Source organism: Homo sapiens, chromosome 5 (genome assembly GCF_000001405.40).
Source record: "Homo sapiens chromosome 5, GRCh38.p14 Primary Assembly".
Lineage (NCBI taxonomy): Eukaryota > Metazoa > Chordata > Mammalia > Primates > Hominidae > Homo > Homo sapiens.
Genome location: NC_000005.10, coordinates 96282093 through 96308225, shown reverse-complemented (window position 1 = coordinate 96308225; position 26133 = coordinate 96282093). Strand labels below are relative to the sequence as shown.

Genomic DNA, 26133 nt, shown 5'->3' with positions numbered 1-26133 from the left:
AAGGCTATCAGAGATTGAAGATCAACTCAATGAAATAAAGTGAGAAGATAAGATTAGAGAAAAAAGAGTGAAAAGAAATGAACAAAGCCTCCAAGAAATATGGTTCTATGTGAAAAGATCAAATCTACGTTTGATTGGTGTACCTGAAAGTGACAGGGAGAATGGAACCAAGTTGGAAAACACTCTGCAGGATATTATCCAGGAGAACTTCCCCAACTTAGCAAGGCAGGCCAACATTCAAATTCAGGAAATGCAGAGAACACCACAAAGATACTCTTCAAGAAGAGCAATCCCAAGACACATACTCATCAGATTCATCAAGGTTGAAATAAAGGAAAAAATTTTAAGGGCAGTCAGAGAGAAAGGTCTTGTTACCCACAAAAGGAAGCCCATCAGACTAGCAGTGGATCTCTCGGGAGAAACCCTACAAGCCAGAATAGAGTAGGGGCCAATATTCAACATTCTTAAAGAAAAGAATTTTCAACCCAGAATTTCATATCCAGCCAAACCAAGCTTCATAAGTGAAGGAGAAATAAAATCCTTTATGGACAAGTAAATGCTGGGAGATTTTGTCACCACCAGGCCTGCCTTACAAGAGCTCCTGAAGGAAGCACTAAACATGGAAAGAAACAGCCAGTACCAGCCACTGCACAAACATGCCAAATTGTAAAGACCATAGACACTATGAAGAAACTGCATCAACTAACAGGCAAAATAACCAGCTAGCATCATAATGACAGGATCAAATGCACACATAACAATATTAACCTTAAATGTAAATGGGCTAGATGCCCCAATTAAAAGACACAGATGAGCAAACTTGTTGAAGAGTCAAGACCCATCTGTGTGCTGTATTCAGGAGACCCATCTCATGTGCAAAGACACACATAGGCTCAAAATAAAGGGAGGGCTGAATATTGACTGAGAACATGGAAGGCAAAAAAAGAGCAGGGGTCACAATCCTAGTCTCTGATGAAACAGAATTTAAACCAACAAAGATCAAAAGAGACAAAGAAGGGCATTACATAATGGTAAAGGGATCAAAGCAACAAGAAAAGCTAACTATCCTAAATATATATGCAACCAATACAGAAGCATCCAGATTCATAAAGCAACTTCTAAAAGACCTACAAAGAGACTTAGACTCCCACACAATAATAGTGGGAGACTTTAACACCCCACTGTTAATATTAGACAGATCAAGGAGACAGAAAATTAACAAAGATATCCAGGACTTGAACTCAGCTCTGGAACAAGCCAACCTAATAGACATCTACAGAACTCTCCATGCCAAACCAACAGAATATACATTCTTCTCAGCACCACATTGCACTGATTCTAAAATTGACCACATAGTTGAAAGTAAAACACGCCTCAGCAAATGCAAAAGAATACAAAATCATAAGAAACAGTCTCTCAGACCACCAGGCAATCAAATTGGAACTCAGTATTCAGAAACTCACTCAAAACCACACAATTACATAAAAACTGAACAACCTGCTCTTGAATGACTACTGTGTAAATAATAAAATTAAGTCAGAAATAAATAAGTTCTTTGAAACCACTGAAAACAAAGACACAATGTACCAGAATCTCTGGGACACATTTAAAGCAGTGTGTAGAGGGAAATTTACAGCACTAAATGCACATAAGGGAAAGCAGGAAAGATCTAAAATCAACACCTTAACATCACAATTAAAAGAACCAGAGAAGCAAAACCAAACAAACTCAAAAGCAAACAGAAGACAAGAAATAACCAAGATCAGAGCAAAACTGAAGGAGATAGAGACATGAAAAACCCTTCAAAAAAAGTCAGTGAGGCCAGGAGTTGGTTTTTTGAAAAGATTAACAAAATAGATAGACCACTAGCCAGACTAATAAACAAGAAAAGAGAGAAAAATCAAATAGACACTATAAAAATGATAAAGGGAATATCACCACTGATCCCAAAGAAATACAAACTACCATCAGACAATACTATAAACACCTCCATGCAAATAAACTAGAAAATCTAGAAGAAATAGATAAATTCCTGAAAACATATACCCTCCCAAGACTAAACCAGGAAGAAGTCGAATCCCTGAATAGACCAATAACAAGTTCTGAAATTGAGACAGCAATTAATAGCCCACCAACCAAAAAAAGTCTAGGAACAGACGGATTCACAGCCAAATTCTAACAGAGGTACGAGGAGGAGCTGGTACTTCAGAAAGTATTCCAAGCAACAGAAAAAGAGGGACTCCTCCTTCACACATTTTATGAGGCCAGTATCATCCTGATACCAAAACCTGGCAGAGAAACAACAAAAACAGAAAATTTCAGGCCAATATCCCTGATGAACATTGATGTGAAAATCCTCAATAAAATACTGGCAAACCAAATCTAGCAGCACATCAAATAGCTTATCCACCACAATCAAGTCAGCTTCATCCCTGGGATGCAAGGCTGGCTCAATATACACAAATCAATAAACATAATCCATCACATAAACAGAACCAATGACAAAAACCACAGGATTATCTCAATAGATGCAGAAAAGGCCTTCGACAAAATTCAACAGCCTTTTATGCTAAAAACTCCCAAAAACTAGGTATCGATGGAAGGTATCTCAAAATAATAAGAGCTATTTACAACAAACCCAGAGCCAATATTATACTGAATGGGCAAAACCAGGAAGCACTCCCTTTGAAAACCGGCACAAGACAAGGATGCCCTCTCTCACCACTCCTATTCAACATAGCGTTGGAAGTCCTGGCCAGGTCAATCAGGCAAGAGAAAGCAATAAAGCGTATTCAAATAGGCAGAGAGAAAGTCAAATTGTCTTTGTTTGCAGATGACATGATTGTATATTTAGAAAACCCCATTGTCTCAGCCCCAAATCTCCTTACGCTGATAAGCAACTTCAGCAAAGTCTCAGGATACAAAATCAATGTGCAAAAATCACAAGCATTCCTATACACCAATAATAGACAAGAGACAGAGATCCAAATCATGAGTGAACTCCCATTCACAGTTGCTACAAAGAGAATAAAATACCTAGGAATCCAACTTACAAGGGATGTGAAGGACCTCTTCAAGGAGAACTACAAACCACTACTCAACGAAATAAGAGAGGACATAAACAAATGGAAAAACATTCCATGCTCATGGATAGGAAGAATCAATATCATGAAAATGGCCGTACTGCCCAAAGTAATTTATAGATTCAATGCTATCCACATCAAGCTACCATTGACTTTCTTCACAGAATTGGAAAAGACTACTTTAAATTTTATATGGAACCAAAAAAGAGCCCACATAGCCAAGAAAAGCCGAAGCAAAAAGAACAAAGCTGGAGGCATCATACTACCTGACTTCAAACTATACTACAAGGCTACAGTAACCAAAACAGCATGGTACTGGTACCAAAACAGATATATAGACCAATGGAACAGAACAGAGGCCTGCAAAATAACACCACACGTCTACAACCATCTGATCTTTGACAAACCTGACAAAAACGAGCTATGGGGAAAGGATTCCCTATTTCATGAATGGTCTTCGGAAAACTGGATAGCCATATGCAGAAAGCTGAAATTGGACCCCTTCCTTACACCTTATACAAAAATTAACTCAAGATGGATTAAAGACTTAAATGTAAGACCTAAAACCATAAAAACCCTAGAAGAAAACCTAGGCAATAGCATTCAAGACATAGGCATGGGTAAAGACTTCATGATTAAAACACCAAAAGCAATGGCAACAAAAGCCAAAATTGACAAATGGGATCTAATTAAACTAAAGAGCTTCTGCACAGCAAAAGAAACTATCATCAGAGTGAACAGGAAACCTACAGAATGGGAGAAAATTTTTGTAATCTGTCCATCTGACAAAGGGCTAATATCCAGAATATACAAAGAACTTAAACAAATTTACAAGAAATAAACAAACAACCCCATCAAAAAGTGGGCAAAGGATATGAACAGACACATCTCAAAAGAAGACGTTTATGTGGCCAAAAACATATGACAAAAAGCTCATCATCACTTGTCATTAGAGAAATGCAAATCAAAATCACTTTGAGATACCATCTCTCGCCAGTTAGAATGGTGATCATTAAAAAGTCAGGAAACAACAGATGCTGGAGAAGATGTGGAGAAATAGGAACGCTTTTACACTGTTGGTGGGAATGTAAATTAGTTCAACCATTGTGGAAGACAGTGTGGAAATTCCTCAAGGATCTAGAACTAGAAATACCATTTGACCCAGCAATCCTATTACTGGGTATATACCCAAAGGATTATAAATCATTCTACTATAAAGACTTAAGCACACGTATGTTTATTGTGGCACTGTTCACAATAGCAAAGACTTGGAACCAACCCAAATGCCCATTAATGATAGACTGGATAAATATAATGTGGCTCATATACACCATGGCATACTATGCAGCCATAAAAAAGGGTGACTTCATGTCTTTTTCAAGGATATGGATGAAGCTAGAAACCTCATTCTCAGCAAACTAACAGAAGAACAGAAAACCAAACACCACATGTTCTCACTCATAAATGGGAGTTGAATAATGAGAACACATGGACACAGGGAGGGGAACATCACAAACTGGGGGGTGGGGGACTAGGGGAGGGATAGCATTAGGAGAAATACCTAATGTAGATGACAGGTTGATGGGTGCAGCAAACCACCATGGTACGTGTATACCTATGTTACAAACCTGCACATTCTGCACATGTACCCCAGAACTTAAAGTATACTATAAATAAATAAATGGCATTCAAATATGAAAGGAAGTGAAACTATTCCTGTTTGTTGATGACATGATGTTATGTATTGAAAATCCTAAATATTTCACAAAAGAAAACTGTTAAGACTGTATATGATTTGTCTCTGTGTCCCTGTCGAAATTTCATGTGGAATTGTAATCCTCAATCTTGGAGGAGGGGCTTGGTGGGAGGTGACTGGATCATGGGGGCAGACTTATGCCTTGTTGTTCTTACGATAGTGAGTGAGTTCTCATAATATTTGGATGTTTAAAAGTGTGTAAGACTTCCCCCTTTGCTCTCTTCCTCCTGCTCCAGCCATGTAGGATGTGCCAGCTTCCCCTTCACCTTCCGCCATGATTTAAGTTTCCTAAGGCATGCTTCCTGTACAGCCTGTGGAACCTTAAGCCAGTTGAACTGCTTCTCTTTATACATCACACAGTCTCAGGTAGTTCTTTATAGCCATGTGGGAATGGACTAATACAGAAAATTGGTACTGGAGAAGTGGGGCATTGCTATAAAGAGATCTGAAAATGTGGAAGTGACTTTGGAAGTGGGTAAGGGGCAGGGATTGGAACAGTTTGGACTCAGAAGAAGATAGGAAGATAAGGGACAGTTTGGAACATTCTGGACCTTGTTAACTTGTTGTGACAAAAATGCCAATAGTGATATTGTAAATGAAGTCCAGGCTAAGGTGGTCTCAGATGCAGATAAGAAATTTATTGGGAACTGGAATAAAGGTCCTTCTTGCTATGCTTTAGCAAAGAGACTGGTGGCATTGTGCCCCTGCTCTAGGGATCCGTAGAACTTTGAACTTGAGAGAGATGATTTAGGGTATCTGGCAAAAGAAATTTCTAAGCAGCAAAGCATTCAAGAACTGACCTGGTTGCTTCTAAAAGCCTATGCTTATCTGCATAAACAAAGAAATGACCTGAAAGTGGAACTTATATTTAAAAGGGAAGCAGAGCATAAATGGAAAATTTGCAGCCTGCCTATGTGGTAGAAAAGAAAAACCCATTTTCTCGGGGAGGAATTCAGGAATGCTGCAGAAATTTGCATAAGTAAAGACGAAGCAAATGTTAACAGCCATTGCAATGGGGAAAATACCTCCAAGGTGTTACAGAGACCTTTGTGCAGCCCCTCCTATTATAGACCTGGAAGTCTAGGAGGGAAAAATAGTTTTGTGAGCAGGCCCAGTGCCCTGCTGTTCTTTGCAGCCTCAGGACATGGCGCCCTGTGTCCCAGCTGCTCCAGCTCCAGCTGTGCTAAAAGGACCCCAGATACATCTCAGGCCACTGCTCCAGAGGGTGCAAGCTGTAAGCGACAAGGGCTTCCACGTGGTATTAAGCCTGCAAGTGCATAAAGGGCAAGAGTTGAGGCTTGGGATCCTCCACCTAGATTTCAGAGGTCGTATGGAAATGTCCGGATGTCCAGGCAGAAATCTGCTGCAGGGGTAGTGTCCTCATGGAGAACCTCTACTAGGGCAGGGGGAGAGGAAACATGGGGTTGAAGCGCCCACATAGAGTCCCCACTGGAGCAATGCCTAGCGGAGCTATGAAAAGAGGGCCACTGTCCTCCAGATCCCCGAATGGTAGATCCACCAACAGCTTGCACCATGCTCCTGGAAAAGCCACAGGCACGCAGTGACAGTCCATGAAAGCAGCTACAGGGGCTGTACACTGCAGGGCCACAGGGGAGGAGCTGTCCAAGGCCCTTCGAGCCCACCCCTTGCATCAGTGTGGCCGGATGTGAGACAGGAAGTCAAAGGAGATGATTTTGGAGCTTTAAGATTTAATGACTGCCCTGCTTGGACTTGCATGGGGCCTGTAGCCCCTTTGTTTCGGCTGATTTCTCCCTCTTGTAATGGGTGTATTTACCCAATGCCTGTACCCCCATTGTATCTTGGAAATAACTAACTTGCTTTTGATTGTACAGCCTTATAGGTGGAAGAGACTTGCCTTGTTTCAGATGAGACTTTGGACTTGGACTTTTGGGTTAATAATGGAATGAGTTAAGACTTTGGGGGACTGTTGGAAAGGCATAATTAGGCTTGGAAATGTAAGAAGGACATGAGATTTGGGAGGGGCCAGGGGCAGGATAATATGATTTGGCTCTGTGTCCCCAGCCAAATCTCATGTCAAATTGTAATCCTCAATGTTGGAGGAGGGGTTTGTTGGGAGGTGATTAGATCATGGGGGTGGACTTTTCCCTTGCTGCTCTCATAATGCAAGTGAGTTCTCATAAGATCTGGTTGTTTAAAAGTGTGTGGCACTTCCCCCTTTGCTTTCTTCCTCCTGTTCCAGACATGTAGGATGTGTCAGCTTCCCTTTTGCCTTTTGCCATGATTCTAAGTTTCCTTAGGCCTCTCCAGCCATGTTTCATGTACAGCCTGGAGAATACTGAGCCAATTAAACTGCTTTTCTTCATAAATTACCCAGTCTCAGGTAGTTCTTTATAGCAATGTGAGAACAGACTAATACAGACCTGATAAAGCAAGTTTAGTAAAGTTGCAGGATACAAAATCAACACACAAAAATTATTAGCATTTCTCTATATTAACGTGAACTTTCCAAAAACAAAATCAAGAGAACAATCTCATTTACAATTACTAAAAAAAAAAAAAAAAAAAAAAAATGCTTAGGAATAAATTTATCCAAAGAGGTAAAATACCTGTAAGCTAAAAACTACAAAACATTAATGAAAAAAATTGAAGACACAAATAAATAGAAAGATATCCCACGTTCATGGATAGAAAGAATTAATATTGTTAAAATATTCATACTATCCAAAGTTATCTATGGATTCAATGTAATTTCTGTAAAAATTTCAATGTCATTTTTCATGGATATAGACAAAAATTCTAACATGTCTATGGACCTCAAAAAAAAAAATAGCAAAGGCAAGCATTGGCTGAAAAGAACAAAGCTGGAAGCATCACACTACTTGATTTCAAACTGTACTACAAAGCAACAGTAATTAAAACAGCATGGTATCGGCATAAAAATAGTTCCATCAACCAATGGAACAGAATAGTGAGCCTCAGAAATGAACACATATCTATGGTCAATTGATTTTCAACGAAGGTGATAAGGATATTCAATGAGAAACAAATAATCTCCTTATTAAATGGTATTGGGAAAACTGGATATTCATATAAAAAAAGAATAAAATTGGACCCTGATCTCACCATATACAAAATCAACTCAAAATGGATTAAAGACTTAAATATAAGACTTGAAACTATAAAAATACTAGAGAAAGCAGGGAAGAAACTATACAACATTGGTCTGTGAAATAATGTTTTATAGTTGACCCCAAAAATATAGGCAACAAAAGCAAAACTAGGTAAATGAGATTACAACAAAATAAGAAACTTCTGCACAACAGAGGAAACAACAGCATCAAGAGATAACCTACAAATTGAGAGAAAATATTTGCAAGCCATACATTTGATAAGGAATTAATATCCAAAATACATAAGCAACTCAAACAACTGTAAAGAAAAGAAATAACTAGATAAAGAAATGTGCAAGGAACCTGTTAAACTGTTAAATAACTGTTAAAAAACTGTTAAATATTTGAGGTGATGGATATGTTAATTAGCTTGATTTAATCATTCCACAAAAAAAATCACATCATCACTTTGTACCTCAAAGATATATACAACTATAACTTGTCAATATATAATAAAAATAAATACAATAGAAAATAAAATTCACATAGCACTGAAATTATAAAGCATAGTCTTATTAGACAAATTTTCTACCAAACCACATGCTATGGATGTATACGTGAATGCTGAAGATAAATATTACTTCATATCAGGGTCATTTACCCAGAGCTTCTAGTAGTAGTGCTTCTATGAAATATGCATGCTTCAACAAAGCAGGGACCAGTGTGCTGTGGAGGAGGAAAGAGGATTGCACTCAACAGGAGCATGGGAGCAGGGGAGCCAAGAAGTACAACTTTACCAAAGAGAAGGGCATTGTGATATTTTCTAACACTGTGATTTGCTCCCCCAGCCGTTTCAGTTAGCTACTAGAAGCCATGGCTAACCACTTTAAAGTGACACTATTAGAATATTTCAGTCTTTTTCTATTGCCTTCTTTTTTTGGTGCTTCATTGCCTTTGATCCCAGATCCAGCTAATGAATCAATTACATGTTTTTTGTTTGTTTGTTGTTGTTGTTGTTGTTGTTGTTGTTGTTGTTGTTGTTGTTTTGAGACTGAGTTTTTTGCTCTTGTTGCCCAGGCTGGAGTGCAATGGTGCGATCTTGGCTCACTACAACCTCTGCTTCCCGGGTTCAAGCAATTCTACTGCCTCAGCCTCCCAAGTAGCTGGGATTACAGGTGCCCACCACCACGCCCAGCCAATTTTTTTTTTGTATTTTTAGTAGAGACGGAGTTTCATCATGTTGGCCAAGCTAATCTTGAACTCTTGACCTCAGGTGATCCATCCGCCTCGGCCTCCCAAAGTGCTGGGATTACAGGTGTGAGCCACTGCTCCTGGCCCAGTTAAAAATTTACTAGGCCTTTTTAGAAATAGAGAATTCTGTCTTTAATTTTTAAGGCACACACACACACACACACTCTCCTAATTTAGGGTCCTGAGAGCTTAGCATTTTTCATAAATCTTCTCCCTAACTGAAATTGCTTAAAGTAGCTAATATGTGGACCCCTTATTCAAGTATTTTGGGCTTAAACTGTTATTTGTTTCAATTTCGATGGAAAAGGATATAAAAGCCTACATACAGACTAAAGTTTCTTAACCCATAGTTAGTGGTTTTCAAAAGCCTATGTATTTGTCAAGTGTAGTTCAAATTTGTTCTCAGGCACTAAAAAAATGACACTAATATTCCCAATAGAATATATTTAGAATTAATAATAATTGCTAAACTTCCCATTTGCCAGGCCCTGTCCCAAGCACTTTACTTTTAATAACTTATTTGGACTTCACAGCAATACACAGAAATAAGTACAATTACTTCAACAGTGAGAAATGAAGTCAAATACCCTTTCTGCATCCAGAATTCTGTCTCTGCCATCTAGTTGACCAATTACTCTTATCCCGTGTTAATGACTGCCAAATAGCAATTTGAAACAAAGATTAATTTATTGGATTGTCTAGCAAGGGTGGTCTGTATTACTCAGCTATGAGCACTTCTTACTAAGCAGAAACTAAAAGAAATAGATTTAAAGTCAAAAGAGGAGAAAGAGAATATTCTGAGCCCAGGCCTCTGGATTGTTTACATCCTGTTTTGTAACGGTGGCTTACAGGTTTTGCACCATTGCTACAGAGAAGCTTCTTTTCCAACAAGTCCAGGATGAATTGTGTAAGATTCCTGTGGGCCTAGGGTCATCAGGCTACACGCACATGTTTAAAGTTTAGCAAGATTTCTATTTAGCATTAAGCAAATACCATGTGGCAACAGATCTGTATATGTGGTAAGACTGGAGTTTGGCTGGAGTGAAATGAATGTGAATCAGATGCTTCTACATTTCTCTATTCTCTGAGAGCACCCGCACATTCACCACAAAAAAGACCATAGGAGATGAACTCTAGTCATTTCTAACTTGCTTACAAGCATTCTATTTAGAAATTGTTCTGCATATAGTGCTCCCGGGTCTTATAGGAAAGACACCATAAACTATGAAGAAAAATTTTGTTGGTTCTACTAGGATTTAAAAACGTGGAAGCCAGGCATAGCCATACCACTACTTAAGATAAAGAAAAAAAAAGAATAAAAGCAAACAAAAAATGATAGCTATTTCAGATTACTTGAGCCTAGTTCATCTTTGCCTCCTCTGTCACTAGCAAAGGATATATTTCTAATTCCCACTGGCTCAGGTTTATCTTCCTGCTTAGTTAACAGCAAGACATGAGGAGAGCATAAAAAAATGTGCCATGGGTTGATAGAGTTGCTGCAAAAATCTCATCCCAAGAGCTGTTTCATGTCAAGCATCTAGGTTGGGATGAGGGAAGGGATGACATCACCCCAGTTCTCTCCCTCACCAGCAGCAGCTTGCCACAGCAACAGCAAAGCCACCAGACACACACACTGCTACATCTGGTTGGATATGGAGGAAAACCTTACTCAGAGTAGAAATAAGAAATTGTCTATTAGGTTGCTTCCTTCTCTACCCCCAAGTTTTTCCTCAAATTATTCGTTTGAATAAAGCAGTTGTTGTTCCTTGAATTTCCCTTTCAAAAACATTCTCCTGGAAAGGACAACCACTCAGTCATATTAATTCCCTGCTCAAAACTTTCCAGCTAATTCTGACTCTTTATCAAATGCTACACATCAGTGACAAAATAACCTACTGGAACAGAAAGCTGTCTAAATATGTAAAAAATGAACTAATTTCTATCTTGTGCATTAAAATCTTTCTAAGAGAATGTAATTAATTGTTCACACTGAAAATATACTCCAGTTTTACAACTCTTATGATTTTATAACTGACACCAGAAGACATAAAAACAATTCAGAGTAATGCAAACCCAATTACCAAATATTATCGAATGTAGAGAAGCAATAGAAAAGCATCAGTTAGGGCCCAAGAGGGTAGTCAGCAAGCCATTATGAAATCTGAAGTTGGGACAACTTCCTAGCATTTCTGTTACTGAAAACCAGTCCATGATTAAAACTGAGGAACAGATAGCAAAGACACATTTTCCTCCAAACCTGCAGTATTACAATAGCCTGGATATAACCAACACAGTTGAGCAGACATCAGCAGAGAGTTAACACAACCAGCAACTAGGAGTCAGAAATTTACCCAAATATCTCTGCTCAGTTTCAATTCACAAGATTCTTGGTTTATCTGATACTATCTATTTTTAGCATCATGAAATTTGTATAGATTCACTCTTCAGGTTGTTTTGCAGGTAACAAAAATAGCAAAGACCTATCCTCTATAATCTGAGAATTTATTCTCCAGACACAAAAGGATGCTTCAACAGAAAATAATTTGCAAAGAATTATAAAACAATATGACAACAACCATAAAGTAATATCTTATGAATTTAATACATATAAGCTGAAGATTTACATTAGAAAGTAATCAAACTAGGATAGGTTTAGCCAGAAAAGGCCTCCTGAAGATGGTTTTGTAACACATTTTAAAGGGACTTAACAGACATCAATTTTCAGTGGGAAGAATGGAAGGTACTAGCAAAGTCAAAGATACTGTATTATTTCTAGTGAAAAGACCATGATGTAGAGAAATAAAAGAGGATCTAACCAGGCCGGAGAATGTAGCAAACCCTGTAGAAGGAAACATTGTAATGTGGGATCTGAAATCCAATTAGATTTTTTGCATGTTGGCTAGTTTTATACTTGAAATAATACAGCTCCTCTTAAACAGGAAAAACTATACAAAACATTTGCACAAAACTTTAGGAATTTTATAGCATTTATATTCTCTCTAATTATAAAAGTAACAACTGTTCATGGTAGAACATTTGAAAAATATAGTAAAGTACAAAGAAGAGAGTTAAAATCTTCTATAATACCACATTTAGACATAACAACTGTTAACTCAGAGTCTTTCAATTTAGTCTGTGTATGTGTGTGTGCATATATATATATGTGTGCATACATGATGCCCTTTGTACACAAAATTGGACATCTTACTGCTCATACCATTTCGTGTATTTTTTCCACTTTCAATATTTTGAAACAAGCAGTCTGCTTTACGTGACACTTCTCATAGGACTTTTTTGTCATTCCGGTTTCATTGACACTTATTTTTTTCAATCTCCATTATGTCTGGCAAGTAGGAAAAATTTCAAATAAATCCCCAGTTATATTATCTGAAAGAAGTAATCATTAGCTGAAGAAATATCGTAGGTCGATACGAACATATTTTGGTTTCCTAGACTAAAATATTCAGAGATGACTAAGTTAGTAAAGATTTGATACACCCCAATTCTGTTAGGCAATAAGGAACTAACCTCTTGTTCCAAATATCGTTTGTCTCGTCTTCAAATTAGTGAAGAGACACTTTTGTTTACCACTGTCAATGTCATTATCAAATCCCATTTTTGAAAGAAGTGTGTCATGCCCAGGGCATAAAGTCCTCAGTGATTTCATTGGTTCAAAGAGGTTGCATTGTACTACTTTTCCATCACCCTCTAAATAGTGTGACATGGACCAAAGTCAAGCATGTCTCCTTCGAAAATCAGCTTATCCCACTCAGGCACAAAAGCAGTAGTTCATTTTTACTACATCTCCATGGGGGGCATTCGATTCAAAAGAGAGATTCAAAAAGCACTATAGTTACTCAAGGTAACAATTATTTTTCTTCATGAAAAAAACAAAGTTATTTCCATTATGCATTTGAGTTTCTTATTGAGAATTTCTACTAGTTTGTTTGCTTCAGTATTCTCCATAGTAACAAATACAGGGAAGCAGCTTTTCCCTTTGTAGTGAATGATCCACAGATAGAGAAACACAACATTGGTGACTGTTTCCCTATCAACTAATGAAGCTTTCCTCTGGAGATGCTTATGTGCCCAGTAGCCTGGGTAAGGTGACATGAGCAGACAAATATTATATGCCTTGCTCTCCCTCTATTTTGGAAAACTTAATGTTACAGGAAATAGAGCATTTCAATACAGGATGAAAATAACATCAAGTGAGAAGGCCTCTATGCTGACAGCTGCACAGAACTATTTACTTTCCTCTACCATGTGAAGTAGAGTGACCTTTCCAAAGCCTGGCGGCTAGAAATAGTCAACGAAATGCTGGCAACCTTAGCTGGTGACTTAGTTGTTTTAAATGAGAAAATGTATATAAACATATCACTTAGGTTTGGACACTTGCAAAAATATTGAAAGATCAAATATTTCTAGAATCTGCATAAATGCTTACAGATTTCTATATCAGACACTGCAAAGGGAAATGTTCAGAGACTGGCAATTTCTTTTCTACACAACATGTGTTTCTTCTGTGTAGACAGAGAAAAGCAAATCAACTTCCTGGACATTACAGTGAGAACTGGTTCAGGTGGACCCATGCTAGTCAAACCAAAACAGTCATTTATAAAACTCTATGCCATAGGGTTCATAGGATTCCAGGAAAAGACTTCTAAAATGCTCCCTGAGGTGAGCTACATTGAAGAAGCATACTGCAAATTTAAAAATAAAAACAACAGGTCAGTTTTCTTCCACATATTTTCTTCAAACCATTGTGACTCTAAGTCCAAAAGAGTTATATATAGGAATGAAATAAACACAAAGGCAGAGGAAAAGACAGCCCAAGTCAATGCATAGAGATAGCACATGATCTAATTTTTTTAAGTTGTTAGCTAGTTGAACATTTTACATAGCAATACATTGAGTCAAAAATGAGTTGACTCAGTAAAATAAATATTTGAATAGAATGAAACTTACAATAAAAATAATTCAGGGCCAGGCACAGTGGCTCATGCCTGTAATCCCAGCACTTTGGGAGACTGAGGCTGGTGGATCACCTGAGGTCAGGAGTTCAAGACCAGCCTGGCCAACATGGTGAAACCCCATCTCTACTAAAAATACAAAAATTAGCCAGGCGTGGTGTTGGGTGCCTGTAATCCCAGCTACTCGGGAGGCTGAGGCAGAGAGAATTGCTTAAAACCCAGGAGGCAGAGGTTGCAGTGAGCTGAGATTGGGCTACTGCACACCAGCCTGGACGACAGAGCAAGACTGTGTCTCAAAATAATAATAATAATAATCTGGCATTTACTTATATTATGCATCACTATATGACGATGAGGCCTAAGCTTTTATAAACAATACACATATTCTAAATACTATCTTAGTATAGTCAAATTGAGTGCTTCTAGAGTTCTCTGGAAGGAGAAGAAAGAGGAACCCCTAAAGATTAATGAACTCACAACACAAAAGAATCTAGAGGCCAGGCGCGGTGGCTCATGCCTGTAATCCCAGCACTTTGGAAGGCTGAGGCAGGCAGATCACAAGGTCAGGAGTTCAAGACCAGCCTGACAAACATGGTAAAGCCCATCTCTACTAAAAATACAAAAATTAGCCGGGGCGTGGTGGTGGGTGCCTGTAATCCCAGCTACTCGGGAGGCTGAGACAGGAGAATCACTTGAAACGGAAGGTGGAGGTTGCAGTGAGCTGAGATCGTGCCACTGCACTCCAGTCTGGGCAAAAAGAGTGAAACTCTGTCTCAAAACAAACAAACAAACAAAATCTAGAGACCAGCCTTTCTGCTTCTGGGAAATGGGACTCCATGATCTAAAGGCTCAAGAACTAAGAACCACAGATTTTCTGCCATTCCACCCTAACCTCCCCTCAGGGCTGCCTTGTACACCTCTGGGGGAGGAGCTGGCACCATTCATATTCTAGATCATGTGAATGGAGGCCACTGGAATTGTGCAACATGACAGGGTTGAATCCCGGCCAGAGAAGAATATTAGGAGGAGTTGGCTGCTGTTTGCACTCCTCCACCCCTATTCGTACTTTGATTTTCCATTCAAACATTTATTCAACAACTATTTGTGGAGAACTATATCAGTCGGGACTCTTTAATGAAGACGTCAGAAAACCAAACTCCAGCTGGCTTAATCAAAAAGGGAATTTATTGTTTCATGTATACAGGCTTTAAGTGAATAGCTGCTGTCATCAGAATTAAGTGTCGCTCCCTATCCCTTCACTCCACTTCCTCTGTGTTGACTCTAATTCTGTGACAGTGTTTGGGTCATCCTTGTGACGCAGTGGGCAGCGCGTCAGTCTCATTATCTGATAGAACTTTGTAAATTATTTAGCACTGTATGAGCTACTAAAAGACAAAATTCTCCCAGTTAATAATCATCCCATTCTCCTAACTTTAGTATTAATTCCAAAATCAACATAATCACCTTGTGAGAACATTAACCCATTATTTAGTAGGTGAATAAGTCTTAAGGAATAATCTCAAAGTCACAACCTTAGATAAAACAGAGGCAATTCAGTCTGAATTGGGCTTGTTGGGGGTAGAGCTTGGGCACCAGCAATTTTAACAACTCTCCAGGTGATAAGACCAGTGGCCTGTGCATTCAACAGATAACGTTGAGAACTAATTTGTCTACATTTGTGAAAGGTTTAAAACAATTCAGTAGTTATTATGACATTAAAACATATTTACGTTATACAACTGAGAAGCTCTTATTGGAAACGGAGTCCTAAGGATGGATGTTACGGGTTTTCCAAAATACCTAGGATCTACAGAAGTCTCGAAGCTCTGTTTAAATTTCATTCTTGATGCCTACTCTGACCTTTGGATAGCATCTATTCACATATAATTTTAGGACAAAATCAGGGTAAAGCTTGAAGCCTCTGTTTGTAGTGATATCATCTTTGAGATATTAACATATGCGTCTTTTTTCTTCCAGTGTTTGCCTCTTTCCTTCTCATTCAAACAGAGAGTAATCCTAAGGAGAAGGGTGAAAAAAGGCAGAAAGCACAAAAGTCTGAATTGTTCTAGGTTTGGCTTTCAAATGCCTAAGAACTTAAGTAGAAAATAGCCAGAGTAGAGACAAAATATTTGGAAGAAACAGGAAAGAAAGATTCTGTATCTGTCATCGGCACACCTTCCCCACCACACACACACACACACACACACACACACACACACACACACACGCAGACTGGGAATCAGTCTTCTATTGATCATAATAGCAGAGACTTTGGAAGATCTTACAGGGAGGATCCTATGGGTCTATGACTCCTGGAGAGAAAGCATAACTGTGATAAGCCTAAGCAGAAGAAACTATAGAAAGCTAAGTCTTCCATGCTCCCCTCTCCCCAGAGCTTGGCACAAAAATAGCAACAATTTTCCTGAGCCCCATTCACCTCCACCAAGATTGGCATAGAATTAAGAGAGAGAAATGAATGAGTTAAGTGAGCCATGTGGATACCAACAGGAGAACTCTGAACTGTCTAGCCTCAGCAAGACCAAGACTAAAGTTATTGGTCATTTGACATTTGTTCATCTTTCTTCCGGGAAAAAAAAAGGAATTTGACAAAGATGAACTGTCATCTTGTAGAATGGAGGACCATGAAACTTGAGCCATTCTATTCTCCAAAGAGAATTTGTACACATTACAAGGGGAAGTAAAAAGCAGGGGGTTATTGACAAAGCCTTTGCATCTATTCATAGGAGTGCTTATATGCTTGTGTATTAGCTATCTACAGCTGCATAACAAATTATCCCAAAACTCACTGGCTTTAAATTATAATAATTGTTTATTACCTCACACAGTTTCTGTGGATCAAGAATTTAGGAGTGTGAGCTTTCATTTTAGCTCAGGCTCTCTCAAGAGTCAAGATTTCAGCTGAGACTACAGTCATATGAAGGTTTGATTGTGTCTGGAAGATCTGCTTCCAAGATGATTCATTCACATGGCTAGTATGTTCACCTTGTCTGTTGGTGGAGAGCCTCAGTTGTTCTCTGTAAAGCTGCTTGAATATCCTCAGAACATGGTGGCTGTTTTCCTCCAGAGGGAGAGATTCAAGAGAAGGCAAGGTGGAAGTCACATTTTCTTTCATAACCAAGCTTCAGAAGTTGCTCACTGTCATTTCCCCCAAGGTCCTATAGATTACACACGTAAAGCCTACTGATAGCAAGAGGGGATTATACAAGACCAAGAACACCAGGAGGTGAGGTGCCATCTCAGAGGCTGGCTACCACAGCTTGCTACTTCGTAATCTTTCCACTAGAGAGTAAAGGATGCTTGCCCCAACTGAGAAAGGAAACATTCTAATTAAATGTCATTCCTGTCATCCATTTCAGATATAAACCAGGAAAGCAGCTCGCTTCACTCTCAAAGGGAAGCAGTGAGTAAACTGTGTTCTTTGAGCTTCACTCTGAATGCATTTGTTTTCACTGGTTTCCCAAAGACAGGGCATCAGATGCATAGGGGAAGCTTCATCGTCACTGCTTAGACTCAAGAAATAAATATGACACCTCATCAGCAATGCATTAAAAAACAATGTGGATGAGTCTGAGTTTTATTTAATTTAATTTTGAATAGAAAATAAAAGGGGAATTGCTATAAAATTCTTCTAATAGTCTGTTTCTTAAAATCCTGAACCTTTCACTCATTGCCTTATGAAAATTGTCAACTAACTTAGAGCCTGGTAAAGAGAATGAACTTTTTCCTGAGCTTTGTCCAAGAATTCCCAACAGTAACTAGTGTACATCAATGACTAAGGGAGAATTTTTCTACTCTTTGTTTCTGTGCCTTGATATTCTATAAGCCCCTAAATCCTTTATATAACCGTGGAAAGATGGGTGAAGCTTAAACAGAAGAATGAGACTTTGAGCTAAAATTAAGATGCAGAAAATTAATGTAGGTTATGTTTCTTTCACACATGAGTTTTTGGACTCGTGACCAAAATTTCTACTTTCCAAGTATTCTGATAAAAATTAAACCAATGCTTGAAGTAGAAGACAAAAATATCATTACTTTCATCTATATAAAACAAAACAATTGGATGACTCAATCCATTGGATCACTCCATTTAGTCAATTCTGTTTTTTTTAAAAAAAAAACCTCCAAAGAAGTTTTTAACAAAATTATATAGTAGTCTTGCCTCTATCAAGAACAGCAACAACAATAAAATAATTTATAAGACAAACGCTACTGAGGCACATTTTTTCACCTCATTTATTTGTCTCTCAACAAAGCTGAGGATTGTGCATGATGACTTCCAATTATCACGTGAGAAACCTGAGGGTCAAAAAGGTTAAATAACTTACCCGAGGATATTTAGTAAAGCCAGTGTGTTTGTTCGTTTTCACACTGCTGATAAAGATGTATCCAAGACTGGGTAATTTATAAAGAAAAGAGGCTTAATTGACTCATGGTACCACATGGCTGGGGAGGCCACACAATCATGGCAGAAGGCAAGGAGGAGCAAGTCGCATCTTACATGGTGGCAGGGAAGAGAGAGAATGAGAACCAAGTGAAAGGGGTTTCCCCTTATTAAAACCATCAAACCTCATGAGACGTATTCACTACCACGAGAACAGTATTCAGGGAAACCGCCCCCATGATTCAATTATCTCTTGCCAGGTCCCTCCCACAACACGTGGGCATTATGGGAACTACAATTCAAGATGAGATTTGAGTGGGGACACAGCCAAACCATATCAGCCAGGATTAGAATTCCCAACTGTGCAGCCTGAGTTCATTTAAGAACACTGTATCCCAGAAAGTGATCTTCTTTGTTGAACACAAGGCAAATTCAGATACTTTGAGGAAAATATTTACAATAAAAACATTTTATGTATAACATAGAAGGAGAAAAATAATTTACCATGATTATCAGTTCTAACAAGTACCCACTGTGCCCAAAGTATTCTAAGGGTTTTTTTTTTTCTTAATCATATATGCTCCAAAACTGAGCATTGTGGGAAAGCAGCAGCAGAAAATGGAACGTGACACTTCAAATAAAAAATTCCTTACCATACAGTGGGTTTTGCAATCCAAACTATTGATTGCAAAATTGCTCAGGCAGGATGTAAGGGAAAAAGCCTGCTCATTAACCAGCTCACCTAAGAGAAACTCTCAGAAGCCTTCATTTTTCATGGATTCTTCAACTACCATATTTCCTCAACCTCATCTAGTTGCAGATGTAGATGAAAAACTTTGAAACCTTTGAATGTCTGTACTGTGCCAAAGGTCTTTTTATCCATGTCTTTAATAGAGGAACTGAGGCCTAAGGATTAAACTTGTCTTAGGCTGCACAAATGGGATTAGCCAAAAAATTTTGCCTGATGACTTCAAATACAGCACTTTACTTGTTCTTGCAACATAGTCATATGTCTAAGGTTTCCCAGTCTTTTGGAAAATAAGATAGTCCATATAAAAATGTTTTTAAGGTTATAAAATGATGCAGAATTATTATTTTTGTACATTTGCTTTGGAGTTAACATTAACCTAGTTCAAATTATGTAATTACTATTTTATCACTTCATTCTTTGCTGCCGTGTCACTGCTCAGAAATCTTCTGAAATGGCTTATTGCAAACCTGAGGAAAGGAGCATGGCTGCAGGAAATATTTTTTTAAGTGGTAGTCATAATTTGGTTCTCAGATGACTTCTTTTCGGTATTTCTGTACCTCACCAGTAGCATGCTGGCATTGGTGAGAAAACAAAAATAATTATGCAACTATTATGAAACTTCACATTCAACAGTACTTTTTACTCTCCAAATGTGAGGAGGAAAAAACAGTCCCCGTGTCTATGTAGTTTTCTCCAGAGTATTTGCTTATAAAGACATAAAAGTGAAATTTACAGCATTCTTTCCAGGTGCACCCACAATTCACAATTTTCTTGCTCTTGTGGGTCAGATTTGCTGTGCAATTTAAAAACCAAAGCCCTTCCCACAAAATAAGAAAAGGACTGAAATTCCATCTGTAGCCCAAAACAGCTTTTTAAAAAGTGAAATATTTAAAAGTGTAGCATATTTATGTTTCATTTCACTCTCTTCACTTAATGTCTTGAAAAATATCAGAAGCAGAATTAGTACTTAAAAATCCCACCGTAAAAAGATTTTCTGTTTCAAGTTTGTAGAAAATGCTGAAGCTCCCTTTGTAGGATGACTTCCATCAGTTCTTTCTTTTTTTTCTTTTTTTGAGACAGAGTCTTGCTCTGTCATGAGACAACATATACAACTGCACTTTAAACATAAATCATGCAAATTCTTCAGTTATTTTAATTTTTGACCCCTGAGAAATGTGCCACTACCTATATAAGTGTGATTTTATTTTATTAGATGTGTCTGGACTTTCAATAGAATCTAGAATAGAAGTAGATAAAATTTCAACTTCCTTACTGAAAGTGTTTTATATAGTTCTTATATTTAACAGAGGACAAATGCAAATAGATCTGAGGGTCACACAGAACCCGTTAATACCACAGGGAAGAAAAAAAGCCAGGGTATGCTTATTGGTTTTTCCCAACCATTTTCTTTATGGGTTCATTTCACATCAATCTCACACCTTGGAAAAATATAGGTCTGAAGGGTTACTTGAATGTGAAATTTTCCTCTTTATAACATGGAATAGAAATTGAGGGCTTTTGATATTGTCATGGAAATGACTCTTTGTAAATACCGCTCAAAGGCCCATTTCAAGCCAGAATGAGCTGGAACAATGTTTTCTTTTTCTTTTCAATTATGAGATTGAAGTAAGGGTTGAGAGAAGTTCTGGTCAAGACAGTGGAAGGAAAGGGGAGGGGGGAAGAATGTGCCTGAGAGAATTTCTCTCACTTATGCCAATAAATTGGGTAGCGTAGTTTCATTCATCAGATGAAAAAAAGATGTTTGTCTCATCTCAGGTACACAAACACACAATTGTTGAGAACCAGAGACAAAAAGTAGGAAAAATAAGAAAACGGAAATGGGATGGACCACTTGACTACAACCCTCAATTTAAAAAAAGTTGAGTTTTATACTTGAAATTATGATGCACACACAAACAAGAAAATTCTACTTTTCAACATAAGTATTTTTGTTAAAACTAGGACTCACAAAATGGATAATGTTTCAGCAAATATTTAAACACCTAATTGAATTACTGTGAATTTTAACATTTGTATCATGTACAACTTTGTTTTCTTCTAACTGCAAGGGAATTAACCTTTAGATCACTCTAGTAAGAGAAAATAAAATAGATTGAAAGCAGAAAAATGATAATAAATAAAAATGTTATTTTAAAAAATACCCTCATGCTGAGACCATAAATTGGATTTCAGGTTTTATTATCTCAATGTTATGTTAATCTCTAGCCTTCTTAGCAATTAAAAAAATAAAAATGCAACAGTCTTCCCCACTTCAGACAAATCAGACCTTGTTGGAGAAAAAAACTTAGGAAAAAATTCCTGGATTTCTTAAGATTTAAGGACAATTTAGAGCTAACAATATTGGTTACTGGTGCAAAGCATGGTGTTTCCAAGTCACAACACGGTCCATATCTTGCCCCTCCCTTTAACGGCTCATTCTCTTATAAAACATTCTATTGATTCTTTTAACATTTGTTCTTTGAGTCCAGGGAGCAAGTGAAGGAAGATTTCTCTAAAATAATTGTTTGCAGCTTCCATCCATCGACCTCTTCTTTCATTGACAAGAAAAGTAATATCTTGTCTCCGCTAATAGGCTTGGGAAATATTTCTATAGGTCAGCTACCTTTATGGCAACTAGAGTATTTAAAGCATCTTAGAATGAGAGATAATGAACTGTTACTACTGTTAACATAGAGAATTTCATTTGAAAATGGCCCAGCTTAATGGAATGAGTATCTAAATTAATTTGAATTCCATTACCTTGATTTTGCAAAACTGGCACCTTAATGCCCAAGGGCAACTCTTATATCTTAGCTGTCTTTCCAACTGGAGTTGGTAGTACTCAGCCTCTTAGGTGAGACTGCTCTGTTTCTATGTTAAAATAAAACCTGCAACTAGCTTTTCAGCCTCACTTTGTAATTCAATTGTGTCCACCCCAGCGGGAGAATGGAGTGATTTGCTATTCTCTCTATTCAATGACATGCCTTCCATTTAGAGGCACATTCATAAATGTTTGAGAAGTGTGCTTTTAACATTAATCAAGAAATTACATAAAATGAACTGAGTATAACCACTATTGAAGATTAATATTTAATACCTAGCACTTATAAAGATAGCTTGATTCCATCTTCATCAAGCCTAGGAACAAAACAAAGCACTGAGTAATCCATTAAAAAAGATTGCTCCCATTTTCCACAATAGGAATTAAGGCAAAAATAAGAGAAAGAACTTTCCACAGACAAAGAAAGCGGAATAACTGAGATGAGGATTCAGGAGACACTCAAATCCTAGATATTTCTGACACTGATTTAAGTTTCTCTCTTTTTCAAGGGGAATGTGTCCTTTCTCAGCAGCTTCATGCCAATATGAGGACTTATGAAATGGTGGGGGAAATAGGGCCTTTTCAAGAAGGCTAATCTTGTAATGAGTAATAATGCAAATTCCTCTCATTTTAAAGAATCAAATAAATTCTCCAGTGCCAAAAACCTGGAGCTTAATCCTGTTAATCAATCAAGCCTGAGGTTAAAACCTGAAATTTGTACAGTTCTTTAAAGTTTATAAAGCTTTTTTAGTAATACTATCCTCCTTAGCTATTTCTTTTTCTTCACACTACTTATCAACACGTGACGTATACCTTTATCGGTTTATTTCTTTATCATCTTTTTCCTACTGTTAAAATGTAAACTCCATAAAAGCAGGAACTTTAGTCTGTGTTGTTATATCCCCAGTACCTGGAACGATGTTTGGCACATAGTGAACAGTAGGTGTGTGTTAAATGAATGAATCAGGTAGCTACATGGATAAATACTATTTCATTTGAGCTTTGAAACCTCCTGGAAAAAAAAGAAAAGTATTTCTTACTCTCTTCACAGATAAGAAAACTAAGACCAAATTATTTATGACAGTATAAACAGTTACCAGAGCTATTAGAAAGGTTAGGGCTAATAGAAGTCCCCTTCTAGTGTTATTTTGCTGACTTGTACAGAGGAACCAAACTATGGGTAGTGAAAGATTTACTGTTGTCAGAATCAGTTCATTTTCACTTTCCATGAAGACTCATTTAAGATAAAAAAGAAATAAGTGCATGTCCTTCTCTAAAACTATAGCTGTCAATGTTTCTTAGCTTTTTCTCTTTAATCACTTTCCTATATTAAATTGCCCTGAGAAGGTGTTTGTTGACTCATCACCCACTTTGTATTTATGACTTTCCTCCTGGTATTTTCTTTTCTACCCTATGTAATTAGTATGGCATACAGATGTCATTTATTGAGCCCTTTTTACACAATGCTAGTATTTTCTATTTGTCCACTCACAATAAGGAGGCTGCAGATCGATCACGCTCCAAAGCCCAGGCTCTTTCCACTCCAACACACTACCCCGATGGAAGTCCTGGCTAGAGAGACTTAGAGGCAGTCCCTGGGAGCCCCAAAATAGAGCCCACCGTCACCCTTAACAAGGGACTTCAGTAATAGTTAACCCCATGCTGGTTAGCTGCAGGGGTGTTGTGGTCTAGGGGCTCTGTATGGGCAACTGGAGACCTGATTATTAGCACCCCAGCATCCATGACACTTTCAGGGTGTCTGAAAATCCCAGAGCACTTGATTGAGGATTGAGATGAGAAATAAAATAATGATCCAGCCAATAGTTATTCTGGGAGGACTCTGTCCCTGGGGGTACTGAGAGGCACAAATTGATCTTTTTTCCCTCCTTCATCAGAGACACCAAAACATTTTTGTAAGGATACTGTGCTTTCTTATATTTCCACACACTGCTCCTTCTTTCCTTTTTTCCTCTGTGAAACATACAGTTTCATGAATCAGTAGTGAACAGTTGCAGAAGGTGAGCCCTCACGACTCTTGTATCCCTCCCAGCATTGGTGCTAATGCTGCCTCTTACCTGGTGCATAACAGCACCCATCCCTACCCCAGTCCAATGGTAAGAGCATTGAGACTCCTTCCAACCCATGGTGAAGAGAAGGGGTGGGGGGATTCTGATAAGTTTCTTTCATTGCAAATGCTGAGCAGACCATAAAAATAAATCCTGTCTGAACCTGACCTTCCGTTACTAACAGTTTGTGAAGTCATTTGAGAAAGGAACTAAGCTAAATAAACATAGTTTCATTGGTGGATTTACGACACTTTACAAGCAAGATTTATTAATACTTCCTTGGTATAAGGCCACGTTCTGGGCTCTGCCGGTCCACTGCACATAAAACAAATGGGAGCCTCACCTAAGTGTCCGAGGACAGGGCTGGACTCAGGTTATTCCTTCCAATTGTTCAACAGTGGATGCTGTGTTGAACTTTAGTCTGGACCAGACAGAAATGATGCTAAGAATGTTCATCAGTAAAGATGAAACACAGGTTCAAACAGCAGAATGAGACTTGCCAATCAAAGTATCAAGGAACGACAGGGAGTTTGGATCCGTCTTGTGAAAGAGTCTAAGTGCCTGCGGCCAGGAAAGTGATCTGAGTTCCTGCACCTCCAGATGACCAAAATATCTGTGAAAAGTTAGTCCTGTATGTGCCTGGATGTAAGATACAGAACCCCTTTATATTTGAGCCTTTTGAAGCCCCTTATACTCTATTTTAGATAAATATTATTTAGGGAAGACCAATTAGCCTACATAAACCTCAATCAATGTTAATTTCAGTTGCTTGTAGAAGCCAATCTGATGAAATCTATGTTATATAAATAAATGGAGCCCAGTCCCTACCCCCTAGATATTCTGATTTAATTGGTCAATGATTATACCCTGTAATAAATTTTTTTCTTTTTTTTTTTTTTTTGAGACGGAGTCTCGCTCTGTGGCCCAGGTGGGAGTGCAGTGGCGCAATCTCGGCTCACTGCAAGCTCCGCCTCCCGGGTTCACGCCATTCTCCTGCCTCAGCCTCCCGAGTAGCTGGGACTACAGGCGCCCGCCATCACGCCCGGCTAATTTTTTTGTATTTTTAGTAGAGACAGGGTTTCACCGTGTTAGCCAGGATGGTCTCGATCTCCTGACCTCGTGATCCGCCCGCCTCGGCCTCCCAAAGTGCTGGGATTACAAGCGTGAGCCACCGCGCCCGGCCAACAAATTTTTTTTCTATGAACCCTCAGGTGATTCTAAGTTGCAGCCAAGGTTGGAAAGCACTAACTTGATAAAATCAGCATATTTTTTTAGAATGGCTGATTTAGCAATTATTCTTAAAATTATGATAACCCCACAATGACAAAAGTTGGAGTTTTCACTGTTAGTCTTTAATAGGTGACAACTTAAAAGTGTTTTAAAATACAATAAGTGGTAAAATTATGGTGTTTATGAATATTTACCTACAAGAGTCATAAAAAATAAAAACCCTTCCTAGTGCTATACCAGTTGGTGATTGATACTTGGATAAAATTTCTGACGACAGTATCCAGGGATGCCTCATAAGGTTGTTTAGGTTATGCACTGCACAACTCCAAGGATTTGTTCCATTAATACAATGTTCACATCTCATTGCCTAGCTAATATTAAGGTTTTTGTCATACTTAGACATATGTGGAAAGATGTTCCTCTGACCATTTTGTACAGAAATGATAGCGGAAGTAGATTTTTTTCACTCAGCGAAGGAACTGAATTTTGCCTCTCAGTTGACACAGGATAAAACAGAATGTTCTCATGCTGAAGCTGGAGACAGAGAAGCTGTGGTGGACGTCTGTTATTTATAGCAATCCAGCTTCCCTGCCTCCTTTGTCTGGTATTAGACACCCCACCCCCACCCCGCCAACACACACATAGCTTTTCTCCTGGAGGAATCCATCCCATGTGGTGCGTATGTTACCTTTCCGGCTCTACCCTCAT

The 26133-nt window shown here is 38.2% G+C and overlaps 1 protein-coding gene and 1 long non-coding RNA gene across 13 annotated transcripts in view; both read right to left on the bottom strand.

Annotated features, from left to right (window-relative positions):
• Nucleotides 1-26133, bottom strand: part of CAST (calpastatin) — an 813255-nt gene that overhangs the window by 466458 nt on the left and 320664 nt on the right. The gene's annotated exons all lie outside the window — the stretch shown is intronic.
• Nucleotides 1-26133, bottom strand: part of LOC101929710 (uncharacterized) — a 669085-nt gene that overhangs the window by 322860 nt on the left and 320092 nt on the right. The window lies entirely within an intron of this gene.